Source organism: Homo sapiens, chromosome 11 (assembly GCF_000001405.40).
Source record: "Homo sapiens chromosome 11, GRCh38.p14 Primary Assembly".
Lineage (NCBI taxonomy): Eukaryota > Metazoa > Chordata > Mammalia > Primates > Hominidae > Homo > Homo sapiens.
The window spans coordinates 117,416,022-117,428,809 of NC_000011.10; the positions used below are offsets into that span (position 1 = coordinate 117,416,022).

General features: G+C 51.9%; 1 protein-coding gene across 7 annotated transcripts in view, besides 1 other annotated feature; it reads right to left on the reverse strand.

The window, feature by feature from the left end:
- Positions 4,240–4,740: an enhancer, noted in NCBI's record as "H3K4me1 hESC enhancer chr11:117290977-117291477 (GRCh37/hg19 assembly coordinates)". NCBI's record gives its function as "activates a minimal SCP1, AML or CMV promoter by ChIP-STARR-seq in naive H9 embryonic stem cells {active_cell/tissue: H9 hESC(naive)}" and the evidence as "EXISTENCE:reporter gene assay evidence [ECO:0000049][PMID:30033119]".
- DSCAML1 (DS cell adhesion molecule like 1) overlaps positions 11,751–12,788 on the reverse strand; it is a 389,743-nt gene continuing 388,705 nt past the window's right edge. For all 7 annotated transcript variants that reach the window (XM_011542918.2, NM_020693.4, XM_011542917.3 and 4 more), the window contains one exon: positions 11,751–12,782. In XM_011542918.2, coding sequence (XP_011541220.1) covers positions 12,307–12,782 — 476 coding nt within the window. In that variant the 3' untranslated portion in view covers positions 11,751–12,306. The remainder of the gene's footprint in view (positions 12,783–12,788) is intronic.

Below are 12,788 nucleotides of genomic sequence, written 5' to 3' on the forward strand. Positions count from 1 at the left end.
TTCTTTTCTAGTTCTTTTTGGTTTGAAAACAAGGCACTCTTATTTTCCCCTTCCAAGAAGCTGGTGGTTCACACGGGCCAGCACACACATTATCAAAGACCTAGTTTGTTTCTAGTAAATGAGTCCATTGAAGTGGGAGCCTTGGCCGGGCAAGGTGGCTCACACCTGTAATCCCAGCACTTTGGGAGGCCGAGATGGGTGGATTGAGATCGAGACCATCCTGGTCAACATGGTGAAACCCTGTCTCTACTAAAAATACAAAAATTAGCTGGGCGTGGTGACACACACCTGTAGTCCCAGCTACTCAGGAGGCTGAGGCAGGAGAATCGCTTGAACCTGGGAGGCGGAGGTAACAGTGAGCCGAGATTGCGCCACTGCACTCCAGCCTGGGCGACAGAGTGAGACTGTCTCTCCAAAAAAGAAAAGAAAAGAAAGAAAATAAATGAAATGGGAGGCTTAATTTATTTGAGACATATCACAGCTACCCTGAAAGAAGGAGAGAGGTGCTGGTGCCCTGCAGTGATAAGCACTCCTCACATCACAGTAGGGTTGAGGAGACGGCAGACGTTTGTAAATATGAGTCTTTGTAATTTAGAATCTGCCAACATTTTTTATCAGGTGGGAGGAGAGGAAATGGCCACAGGCGAACACACACGCACACACCCCATAGCACGCTTAGCTCCATTGTGGGTTAGAAAGTCCATGTCTTACATTGAGTAGAACCCCAGCTCTTGGTTTTGGGGTCATATTACACTGTCCCCATCAAACTTATCACCCTGATTGTTGTCAGTGCTTTTAGAAGATGTAGTAGCATTTCTTCTAGAGAGGGTGTAGGAGTCTCCTTGCCCAGCAGCCCTCAAAGTCCTGATCCCCCTTCCCTATGGGGCCCTATGAAGGCACACTCCCTGGAGAGTTCAATAGTTTCTTCTCTCCCTTTCCAGGGTCTCTGAGGCTAGTGTGACTGTTGAGAGGCTCCCAGCCATGCTCTCTGTGACCCTCAGGCTTGGGTTGGGATCCCAGCGCTCCTTGAAATAGAGCAAAAGGTGATGGGTTGCATAGTGTCTGTGGAGGTGCTGGTGCCTGAGAGCATAACAATAGAACAGGCTCCTGCACATAACCTTTGGGATGGACCCATGACCCCAGTTTGGAGGCGAGGGTTAGGACAAGATGGCCCTGAAGGAAGGATTGCCTCCCATCTTCCTTGGTTGGGTCAAATCAGCTGGTTAATGTCCTCTCCCTTTTGTTTTTTCTTGAAAGACCCATATCACTTTCATCCAAATCCATATGTCAGTTGTTTCCCCCTGGCCCTGACCTCTGATCAGATAGGGGGACTGGATCTGGATCATTGGGATGATTGATCTGGAGGTGAGAGACAGCTGCTGTTTCATTAAGTCAGCTCAGCCATAGCCCCCACCCTGGAAACCTTACTCTCTCTCCAGCAGCCTTCTAACTCTACAGGGAGGGCCCTTTGGTCTGTGATGAAATGGTTTGTGGGTGGGCAGCACGCCTGGGAGGGGCTGCCTCCATCTCCAGGAAGCACAGTTCCTCTCCCGGCTCGGGCAGGATGGGGTGCAGGTAGTGCTCTCCTAGTTTTAAAAATTCTAGGATAGGAGACGTCAGTCTGCCTCATGGCTTTTGCTCTGTGGGGTAGAGCAGAGGGCATTGGAGACATTTCCGATTGCCCCTGCTGAAGAGAAGGATACCCGTTCTTGGGAGGTAAGAAGCAGAGGGACAGTTGGGTGAGTCTCACTCTCAGGGTTAAAAGCAGGGAGGCTATGAATCGAACAAGGATTTCCACATTATCCTTTATAAAGAGGTTGTGAGGATGCAAGAAGTCCTTAGAACAGTGTTCGGCACATAGTAAGGCCTCAATAAATGTGAGCTGTTGGTATTGCCGTTGCCCTGGCCAGGGAAGTCGGGAACCATGACGGAGACTGCAACCTGTGTGACTTCCCATGAGTAACCGCAAAAGTCTTGGACACAGAGGACAAGACAGGTGGCAAAGAAAACGCTTGCTGGGGGATTGTGTTCCTCTTCATGGCCAGTTGTATGTGAGAGGGAGAGAGAGAGGGAAGTGGAAAGTTTAGGACCTGGGGCCAGCAGGCAGGAGGCAGAACAGAGCCTGTCAGGCTTGAGACGGTGCCCTAGGTTGGAGTACAGGACGGTCTCCTGGGGTTCCCCACGAGGAGCCGACGCCTACCCGCTGCATGGACCTTGGAGACTGAGAAAATAGGCTCCACCGCTCTCCTAGTGACCCGTCCCCCTGTAGGGCCACTGCTGGGGCAGCTTAGGCACTAGGCCTGGAAAGGGGCAAAGGTAGGGAATGGAGCTGGGACTCTCTTGGATTACCTATTATGTTAGGCTGGCTTCAAGGCTCTATCTCATGCCTCCAAAAGACCTGGGCTCAAATTCTGACGCCCAGGCACTAGTGGAGTATCTTTGGGAAATGATCCTCTGCCTAAGCCTCAGTTTCCTTATTTGTATAATGGAGCAGAAGATACCACACACACACAGGGTGAATGAAATAACCTAGGACAAGTACTTTGGGTGAAGCACCTTGTAAACTACAGAGTGTTGTGGAAATGCAAGTGTTTGTTGAACCTCTGCTTGAATGCCTCCAAGGACAAGGTGCTCATCACCCCTGAGGTAGCCAGTCCTGCTGTTGAGCAGTTCTGAACTGGCTGAGGGGGAGTCTTCTCTTACAGTTCTGCTGTGGACTCACACAGAAAAAAATGTCCCTTTACTTCTTCCACATGATAGAATGAAATAGGGTCACAGAACCCTCTCCCGTCCGCTGCTTGTCCCCCTTATGAACATACATGAGTGTATGCACATGCAGGGGTTAAAGTGTAGTGCATGCACATTTGGATTCTCACAGGGCCTCTTACTAATAAAGTAGCCTCTGTTTGCTTACTACCAGCCAGTGCAAAGGCCTTTACCTATCTACAGCTCTCAAAGATCCTCATAGCAATCTTATGAGGTAGACAATGATCTCCATTTTACAAGATGAAAAAAGAAAGCGAGAGAGCCTTGGAAGGTTAAGCTATTAGGTTGCAGAATGAGAGTGCAAACCAATGGCCTGTAGTGCAGTTGTTCACGTAGGCACTTGTGTGGACACTGCACACCCTCATGAGTATGCGCCCTCCCTCCCGGCACAGGGATTGGAGGGCGAGGTTGGGGGCTGAGAAGGAGGTCCGGGGCAGCCTCTTTCTTTGTGTGAAGAGGGAAGGTCTCCCCAGGGAAGGCCTTCTGCTCTACCTACCCTTTCTCCTCCTCCTACGTGCTCTCTTCGGCTTCAGAGGCCGGCAGAGTCTGACTAAAGGCAAGACAGCGGTGGTGCCTTCAAATAAATAGCTGTTGTCTCATCCTCAGCCCCATTTCCTCTTGGAGAAAGTTGGCAGGCCCTGGGGCCACAACAGCATCCACTCTGTTGTAGCTACAAAGAGAAGATGGTAAGGGTAGTGCCCGGGTGCTCCCCTCCTCAGAAACCTCCTCCTGGGAGCAGTCAGACAGATCTGTGGCTCTGCCATTGACCACCTCTGTGCTCTGGACAAGTGACTGTCCAGCGACTCAGCGTCGGTGTCTTCATCTGAGAATGAGCTCATTCCATGCACCCTGGAACATCTGCTGGGCTGCCTGTTCTCCTCACCCCATGCCCCCAGCGCCTGGGAAGTGCCAAGCACACAGGAGACCTCCCTAAGCAGTAGGTATTCCTGCACCCAAGGCCCGTGATGAATTCCCTCCCACTCCCTGGCATTGCAGACCCTACCCTTTTCTTAAGCTCTGCCCAGGGACACCCTGAAGCCCTACAACGGCCCTAACTCCTAAAAGGAATCCCTGCTTGGCTCAAGGGCGATCTGACCCAGGCGGTTCCTTGGAGTCTGGGCTGGGCTGCGGTGACACCCCTGGTGCCCCAAAATCCACCGTGCACTCCTCTAGTCTCTGAATCCCCATGGAGGGGTGTCAGAGCCTGGCAGGCGTGGGACCTGTGCCTCCTGGGGAAGGAGGCTGAGGTGGGCAGGACCCAGGGTGTCAGGCAGAGTCAGACACTGTAGAAATGCCTGGGGGAGGGTGGGGATGGGAGACTTGTAGTCTAAGCTTGCAGGACCTGCCAAGTCCCCTCTCCCTTGGTGTTGCCGACAGAGCCCCATGGTGGCTGGAGGCCTGGCTTTCGTGCGGGGCATTGGTCTGAGGCGGCTGGCCGCAGTGGTGGCTGGTGGTGGCTGCCCGGGTGCTGAGCCCGGATGTGTCCAGTCAGCGCGTACTGGAGATGCCACTTGTCACAAAGGCCCTGGCGGGGCTCAGCTGGGGACACGCAGGGCCATGCCTGGAATGGTGCCATCCACCTCCACTGGGCCCAGGAAGGGTGGAGCTCAAGAGAGAAAGAATGGCACCCACAGAGGCAGGACGTCTTAGGGCAGAGCTCACCATCTGGGTGATGCCTCCTGGGGGAGGTGAGGCATTGGCCCAGCATGGATGGGGTGGCATTTTACTGCGCCGTCCACCCTTTCTGGTGACTCCCAGGAGTTGGGGGCCCAGTGCTAGCTCCTGGTTGGGACTGATGACAGTGAATTTGAGGACATCAGAGGCCTTCAGAGCTTCCCTTTCTGCACAGGCTGTGAATCCTCTTGGTGAGCTTCAGTAGGTTCTCTAGGGCAGCAAGGGACCTTCATATCCCACCTGCTTCCCTGGACACAAATCTGGGCAGGAAAACAAACAAACAAACAAAAGCTGGGCATGGTGTTCCTCGCCTGTAGTCCCAGCAACTCGGGAGGCTGAGGTGGGAGGATCGCTTGAGGCCGGGAATTCCAGGTTGAGCGCACCATGATTGCGCCACTGTACTCCAGCCTGGGCAACAGCAAAACCCTGACCAAAAAAAAAAAAAAAAAGAAAGAAAGAAAAGAAGAAACAACAACAGCAACAACAAAACCTGGGCAGATGAGGCAAATCCTGGCTTCTCTGGAATCTGACCCTCTGGTCTGCTGGTTTGTATCTTGTCTAATCCCCATTTCATAGTTAAAAGCTTTTTAACCTCATTATTTCCTTTCAGTCTTATCAACCTGGCAGCATGGGAGTTATTCTCGCATTTCATAGAAGCGGAAATTGAGGCCCATGAGGGCGAAGGTGCTTTCCCGAGGTCACAGAGCTGGCAAGGGAGCAGCAGGATTGACTCCGCAGCCCCTGCGTTTCCATCGCAGTGCCCGCCACATAGTAGGAACTCTACACATGGCGCCTTCTGGGGGCCGCCTGGCTTTCTGGAAAGGATCCGAAGTGGTTTGGTGAGCACCGGCTTTGGAATTCAAACCCTGGCTGATGCCTCTTGCCGGCTGAGTGGCCTTGTACAAGTCACCTGACCTCTTTGACTTCTTTCTTAGCCAATAAAATGGAGATCACACATCTTCAGGGCAGAAATTACAAACACATTAATTTCCCATCCATAGATCCTTCCCACGAATCACCAAAGAGGAGGCCTGCCTTGCCTGCGGTTTCTCCCACCTCCTCTGCCTCCCCTATGCCCAACTGTTGCTGTTTCCTAATGGAAAATGGGGGGAAATGAATGTGAGAGAACATTCCCCAGAGGAGAGGAGGGCGGAGCTGAGCAGGGCTGGAGAAGAGCAGGCAGTGTGTGGGGGGATGTGGGAGGCACAGGCTCCGTAGGGTGTCAGCGGGTGTCACTTACATCTGCTCTTCGGACCCCTTCAGGATCACAAAAACAAAAGCAGATAACTTGAGTTATTTAAAACTTTCGTTTTGGTGGCTGAGTGGATTGAGGTTCTTTGACTGGCACTACGGCCCTGAGACACCACCACTTGGGTTTTGTGCTTATAGGAGTTACTCTTTTTTACAGGGTAGTGGTAAAACTAGGAGAGTATCCGTGCTAAGTGGTTATCAGGGTGCTTGACTCAAGTAGACTCTCAGCAAACGGCAGCAGGCATGATGGTATTCTGTTGTGTTGTTTTCTTGTAACTTGGGGACACTATGCGGAGAGAACCAATGTTTCAGGAGATCTCGGCCTTCACTGGTCTACTCCTTGCCCGTTTCTCCCACTGTTTACCCTTTGTTCATCTATGTCTAACATATGTTGTGCTCCTATTAAGTCAGGCACTGTCCCTTCTCTGGAAGAGACAGTGGAACCCTTCTCTGCCCTTGGGGAGCCTGTCTGCTGAGGACGATGTTCAAATACCATCTGTGGAGGGCTTCTGAGTTGGGAAGGGATGAGACTTGTTTTGTGGTGCCCCCCAGGAGTGGCAGTACCGAGCCTTGTGAGTAGAAGTTGGAGGGGCCACCCAAGCTTAGTGTGAGGGAGGTTTTGCTGTTAGAGCTGTCACAGGTGAGATGTGCTGGCTGGGGAAGTGATGAGTTCTCCATCAGGAGGTGTGCACGGGAAGGCCAGACCACTCTTGCTGATTGCAGATGGAATTCCCAATTTGGGTGGAAGCGTGGACCAGGTGGCGTTGAAGGTCTCTTTGAGTCCTGAGATTGTGCGATTCTTAGAGACACTAAAACCAAGTATGGATCACCTCCAGGGTAATCCAGCTGGCATCTATTCCTCCTTCGGCCTAGAGTATTGTTGTCATTGCCCAGAAGAGGACATGGATTCTGGGAGGAAGGACAGAGCCCTGACTCAGGGTTCATGCTCAGCCTGGTTCTCCCACCCTTCTCCTACAGACACACAGATGCCCTCCTCCTCTCTAAGCTCACCAGCGTCTCCCTTTGCCTTTCCCACCCTTTACCTGTATAGGAATCCAATATGTAGGGTAAGAGGAGGTGACATGGTATGGTGGGTGACATGGTATGGCAGGCGGTGCGGGGGAGGATGCCCTGGGCCTGATCTATCAAGGGAGAATTTCTATGGGGAGCCAAGTTCCCCTTCATCTCCTGCATAAATTAAGATGATGCTAATTGTTGTAAAATAAACTCCAAAGTATCGGTGCTTACTGCAAGTTTATTTCTTGCTCACATAAAGTCCAGCTGGCATTGAAGGGGATAGAGGGGCCTCTGCGCTACATCGATGTATAAGCCAGGGTGATAGAGGATCTGCCATCTTCAATAAGTGGCTTCCAAGTTCACCTTGGGCATTGACTTACAGTTGGAGAGAGCAGAGGGTGGCCAGGGAAGTTTTTATGAGCTGGACCTGAAAGTAGCGTGTATCACTTATGCCACATTCCGCTGGTCAAAGCTCAGTCTCATCGCCTTCTCTGAGAATCGGGGGCCTGGAACTGTAGTCACGGGATGCGTAGCGACTTCCCCGCAACAACTGTGCACTGTGGAGGATCATGAGGCTTTGGCAGACAGCAAACCCTCCCTGCTGTTCCCTGACCCAGGCTTCCCTCCTTCCGCCTCCGCCAGTTTGCGCACACTCCGGGGAGTGAGCCTTTGAGCGCAGGAAGAGACCCACAGGGCCTTTGCATCTCCAGTGCCCAGCTCAGTGCCAGATCATTGGAAGTGCTTCTGGGTATTTGGTGAATGAACAAATACTTGGGTATCATTTCGCTTGTTAAAAATACAGATGCCACAAGGTCAGGAGTTCAAGATCAGCCTGGCCAACATGGTGAAACCCTGTCTCTACCAAAGATACAAAAATTAGCTGGGTGTGGTGGCGCATGCCTGTAATCCCAGCTACTCAGGAGGCTGAGGCAGGATAATTGCTTGAACCCGGGAGGTGGAGGTTGCAGTGAGCCGAGATGGTGCCACTGCACTCCAGCCTGGGCTACAGATTGAGACTCCGTCTCAAAAACAAACAAACAAACAAACAAAAAATACAGATGCCTGGGGGAAAACAGTTTGTTCGTTCCTCAAAAAGTAAGACATAGAATGAGCATGTGATTCAGCAGTTCCAGTCCTGGCTATATTCCCAAAAGAATTGAAAAGAGGGGCTCAAACAGATCCTTGTACACCTGTGTTCATAGCAGCATTATTCACAATAGCTGAGAGGCAGAAGCAACCCACGTGTCCACCAGGAGAGGAAATGAATGGAGAAGCAACATGTCGTAAATAATGGAATATCCTCAAACAGGAGTGGAATTCTGACACATGCTGCAACATGGATGCAGCTTGAAGACATGATGCTAAGTGAAATAAGCCAGAACCAAAAGGACACATATTGTATGATTCCACTTATACAAGGTACCCAGAATAGGCAGGTTCATACAGACAGAAAGTAGAATGGTGGTTGCCAGGTGCTGAGAGAGAGGAAGATGGGGAGTTATTGATTAATGGGTACAAAGTTTCTTTCTGGAATGATGAGAAAGTTCTGGAAATGGATAGTGATTTACAACAAGGTGAATATACTTAATGCTGCTGAATTGTACATTTTAAAATGGTTAAAATGGCGAATTTTATGTATCTTTTACCACCATAAAAATAGAAATGTTGGTCAGGTGCAGTGGCTCATGCCTGTAATCCCAGCACTTTGGGAGGCCGAGGTGGGCGATTGCTTAAGCTCAGGAGTTCAATACCAGCCTAGGCAACATGATGAAACCCCCTCTCTACTAAAAATACAAAAACTAGCCAGGTGTGGTGGCAAGTGCCTATAGTCCCAGTTACTCGAGAGGCTGAGGAAGGAGGATCACCTGAGTCGGGGAGATTGAGGCTGCAGTGAGCCGTGATAGCATCACTGCACTCCAGCCTGGGCTACAGGGCAAGTCCCTGTCTCAAAAAAAAAAAAAAAAAAAAGCCTAGGCCGCATACCAGCAAATTCCTATTCTGTTAGGATTGGTGAGAGCTGGGCTTCTGTATTGTTTAACGAGCTCCTCAGGTGAATCTGATGTGCATCTACGTTTGAGACCCACTAGTCTAGCTCTGGTTGTTGGTAGAATGGGGGAACAAGGGGTAATCTCTCTGAAGGTCTTCTAGAGGAGGGTTTCTCAAACGTTGATGTGCATATGGGTCCCCTGGGGATTTTGCTGAAGTGCAGAGTCTGATTCAGTGGTTCTGGCGTGAGGCCTGGTATTTTTTTTGCATTTGCAACAAGCTCCTAGGTGACGGTGGTGCTGGTGCCACTGGCCTGTGACCCACATGTAGAGTATCAAGGCTCTCAAGGGCAGATGGTCATCTTATCCATGGTAGACAAAGTGGAGTTTTGGAAAGGAGCAAGTGAATGTGTAAGATGACTGTTCCAGATACATAGAGTTCAATGAGGATGAGCTGGGGATGAATGAGGAGCAGGAGTGCCACTGATTTGTGAATTAGCTTCTGGGTGTGGATCAAACAGGCAGGCTTGTGGTTTAGCTAACAAACATATTAAGGGCCTGGCGCAGTGGCTCACACCTGTAATCCCAGCACTTTGGGAGGCTGAGGCGGGAGGATTGCTTGAGTCCAGGAGTTCGAGACCAGCCTGGGCAACATGGTGAAACCCTGTCTCTACGGAAAAAAAAAAGTACAAAAATTAGCCGAGCATGGTGGCATGTGCCTGTAGTCCCAGCTACTCAAGGGGCTGAGGCAGGAAGATCACTTGAGCCAGAAAGGTCGAGGCTGCAGTGAGCCGTGATCACACCATTGCACTCCAGCCTGGGTGACAGAGTGAGATGCTGTCTCAAACAACCCTGCAAAGCGTACTGAAGTTAGAGATTATTAGCAAATAAAATCGTGTGGATTTTGCTCAAGTATGCCTGAATTTCTAGACTTTGTGCTTTATAATAAGGGGCCTAGCCCAGTGGAATACAAGCTAGACTGGCCCACATCTTACTTTTCTGTTGCCTTTCCAAATCCTTCTCATCCTACAGAGTCCACCTCAGGTCCCAGACCTCCAACAGCTCCCCAGAGCTGAATTCCACCTTTTCTACCACCGCCCCTCACCAGGGTAAAGTACTTTGGAGCCCTTGATCCATCCTGTGCTGCATATTGGGTCACCTGCCTCAACTGTTTTTCTGCCCATGCGTCCAGCTTGCTCCCTGGACCTGGCGGACTCTTCCCCTGGCAACATCCTGGGGGAAGAACTGAAACTCTAATCTTTGAACAGTGGAACAGCAGGTAGTATGGCTCAGTAGTTAAGGAATTGGACGCTCATGAGTTTAAATCTCATTCCCATCTCTTCTAGCTCCTCTAACCTTCTCACCTGTCACGTGGTAATCGTGATACCTTTCTCCCAAGTCTGCAATGAGGTTACAAGCAGCACCTGGCACGTAGTATCGGGATCCGTCATGTATTTTCATGACAGCGTTCCCCTTCGGAGCCCTTAGGCTGCTTCTATCTTCTGCGCCTCTAGCCTCTGAGGAGTTTTTCATTCCCTCTTGCTGGTTGGAGGTGGCTCTGATTCGTGTTTGTTTGCCCAATATCTGGTGTGCAGGGGAGGTGGGGTTGGGGGTCTTCTATGCGGACAGCTCAGGTTTGATCGTTGTGCCTGCAGTTCTGGAGGCGACCTGCAGATGGCGTGCGCGTCCTTGGGAGGCGTTCCGTCCTCCCAGAGATGGAACGAAGCTGGGCTGTCACCAGGTGTCTGGAATGCAGAGCTTTGGTTTTCAACTGATGCCGTTAGCTGCTTCTCTTGGCTGGGTCCTGGGTGTGGGGGCTGAGATGAGCATTTCTTCATGAGCCTAGGAATACCGAGGCGTACGGAATCTCTGCCCCTCCCCTCTCACCGTGCCGACCCGGGAATCTAGTTATTCATGCGAGGGACTCCTCTGCATCCCACACACTCTAGGTGCTCAGAGAGAATTTGTGGGATGAGTTGCTATTCGGAAGATGCTTCTATGAAAGGTCATGCATCCCAGGTGCGGCCTCACCGGGGCCCAGGCTGATAGGTATCAGCTGCCTGCATGCACAAACTCCTCCCTCCTTCTCCAGCCCTTCCCAGTTCCTCCTCTCAGCTCCTAGGGAGCGGTGGGTCCCAGACTCACCTTCCTTCCAGGTTCCTGATCCACAGCTCAGCCTCAATTGCAGTGCTCAAGAGCCCCCTGTGCACTTCTTAGGTGCACTTCCTTTTCACCCAGGGGCCAGTCACCTGCTTCTGCCTCTCCAAACCTTCAAGTCCCTGGAGGTCCATCTCACCTGTCACCTCCTGTGATGCCCTCTGGACCCTCTCATCAGAAACCAGGCCTCTGGACACCCACGGCACCTTGCCTGCTCCTCCGTGTGGACGCCTTTTCTTCCACTTGGCTGACTCCTTGGAAGCCAGGTGAGGTACCTGATGTGCTGACCTGGTTCTCTTTGGCTGAGCTCCATTCCCTCTCCTTCATGAGCTTCTCTCACTCCTCTCACCTCCGACGACTTCTCTTCTTCTCCCTCTGGCCTCATCTGGTCCTAAGAGTCAGCCCAGAACTTTAGGCCTTGGCCTGGTGCCCCAGCTATAGATAATCTCTTCTTCCCCGCTCCCGATAGGCACCTCTTTCACAACTGTGGGCTATTGGTCTTGTATAGTCCTGGCCCCCTGGCTACCCTGCACTCTCTTGGAGGAAAGAAGCCAGTAGGCAACCCCTCCCCTATCCCAGGCTCCCCAGCGCTTGGTGAGCCAAGGTTGCCTCATTCCATCTGCTACAAGCTTCCCTCCGTTTACAGGTAAGGACACTGTGGGTCAGAGGGGTTTAGGAGTTTGCACGAAGCCACCGACCTAGTTCCCCTTGCGGGCCCAGCACAGCTCTGAGAACAGAAGAGGAGGCACCTTGGCTAATTGCAAGCCTTTAAAAGTCTTAGAGCACTGAGCCAAAGCCCAGGCTTCTCACAAAGTCTCTTTATGAGAGACAGACGGCCTGGGGTCGGGCTCTCTCCTCCCTCCCCGCTGGCCTTCGCCAGATGGGAAAAAAGCCACCACATAGAAACATAACCTTTATTGCACACGGCGCTGGGTCTTTTTTCATAGAAAAAGGTATTAACACATAAGCATCTGCAAATTGAAGCAACTCCTGGTTTTCTTGGAACAGTAAAATCGCATGCAGTGTCTCTGAGTTGGGATTTTGGTCTTTGTCAAAACCACCTAGACTGGGGGGAAGGTGAGGAGGAGGGAAAAAAATTGCTGAGTCTTTGTGCCTCTGTCTCAAAATAGGGTGAGAGAAATATATAGATATATAGCTCGTGGACGCGTTCCTGTCTGTCTATATATGTATATATATCTCCACACATATTTTGTGGGGTGGGGGATTTGACTTGTACTGTCAAATTCTTTGTGCCCTGGCTTCATGGAGAAGAAGAAAATAGTTTCATTTGTACAAAAGAGTTCTATGTACAGGCGTTCATGATTGGGGGTTTTTGTTTTGTCGTTGGTTGGTTTTTGTCTGTCAGTTGAATATAAATAATGCAGAAAAACAGCCGAGCTGGCGTGTGGGGCTGCGGCGCGGCGCGGTCCAGGCGTGGCTGCTCTTCCTGCGGGCCCTACACCAGGGTGTAGGATTTGGAGTAGGCCCCGGCCCCCTGCTTCTGAGACCTCCCTACCCCCGATGTGCTCATCTCGAGAAGCGAGTCCCTGGAGCCCCCCATTTTGGTGTGTGGGCCCCCGGCTCGTGGAGGCTCGGTGCTGGGGGCCGGAGGGGCAGCGCTGGGGGCGGTGGGTGGCTCAGCAGGGGTGGGGCCGGGGGCTGGGGGGGCTGTGCCGGCTGGGGGGGCTGGCATGGCCAGAGTCCTCTGAGGTAAGGTGGCTGTGGAGGCGGCAGCGGGGGCCCCTGGGTGGGGAAGGCCCAAGGACTTGCTGGCAGGGTCCAGGGTCAGGTGGCGAGCCTGGGTGTGGTAGGTTCGAGCCAGGTTCCGGATGGAGGCCTCACGGGGTGGGACCACGGGGCAGGGCTCACGTCCATCTGCCTTTCGAAAGAAGGCCTCTGACTTGGCATACAGGGGCAGGTTGCAGTAGTCACCTGGAA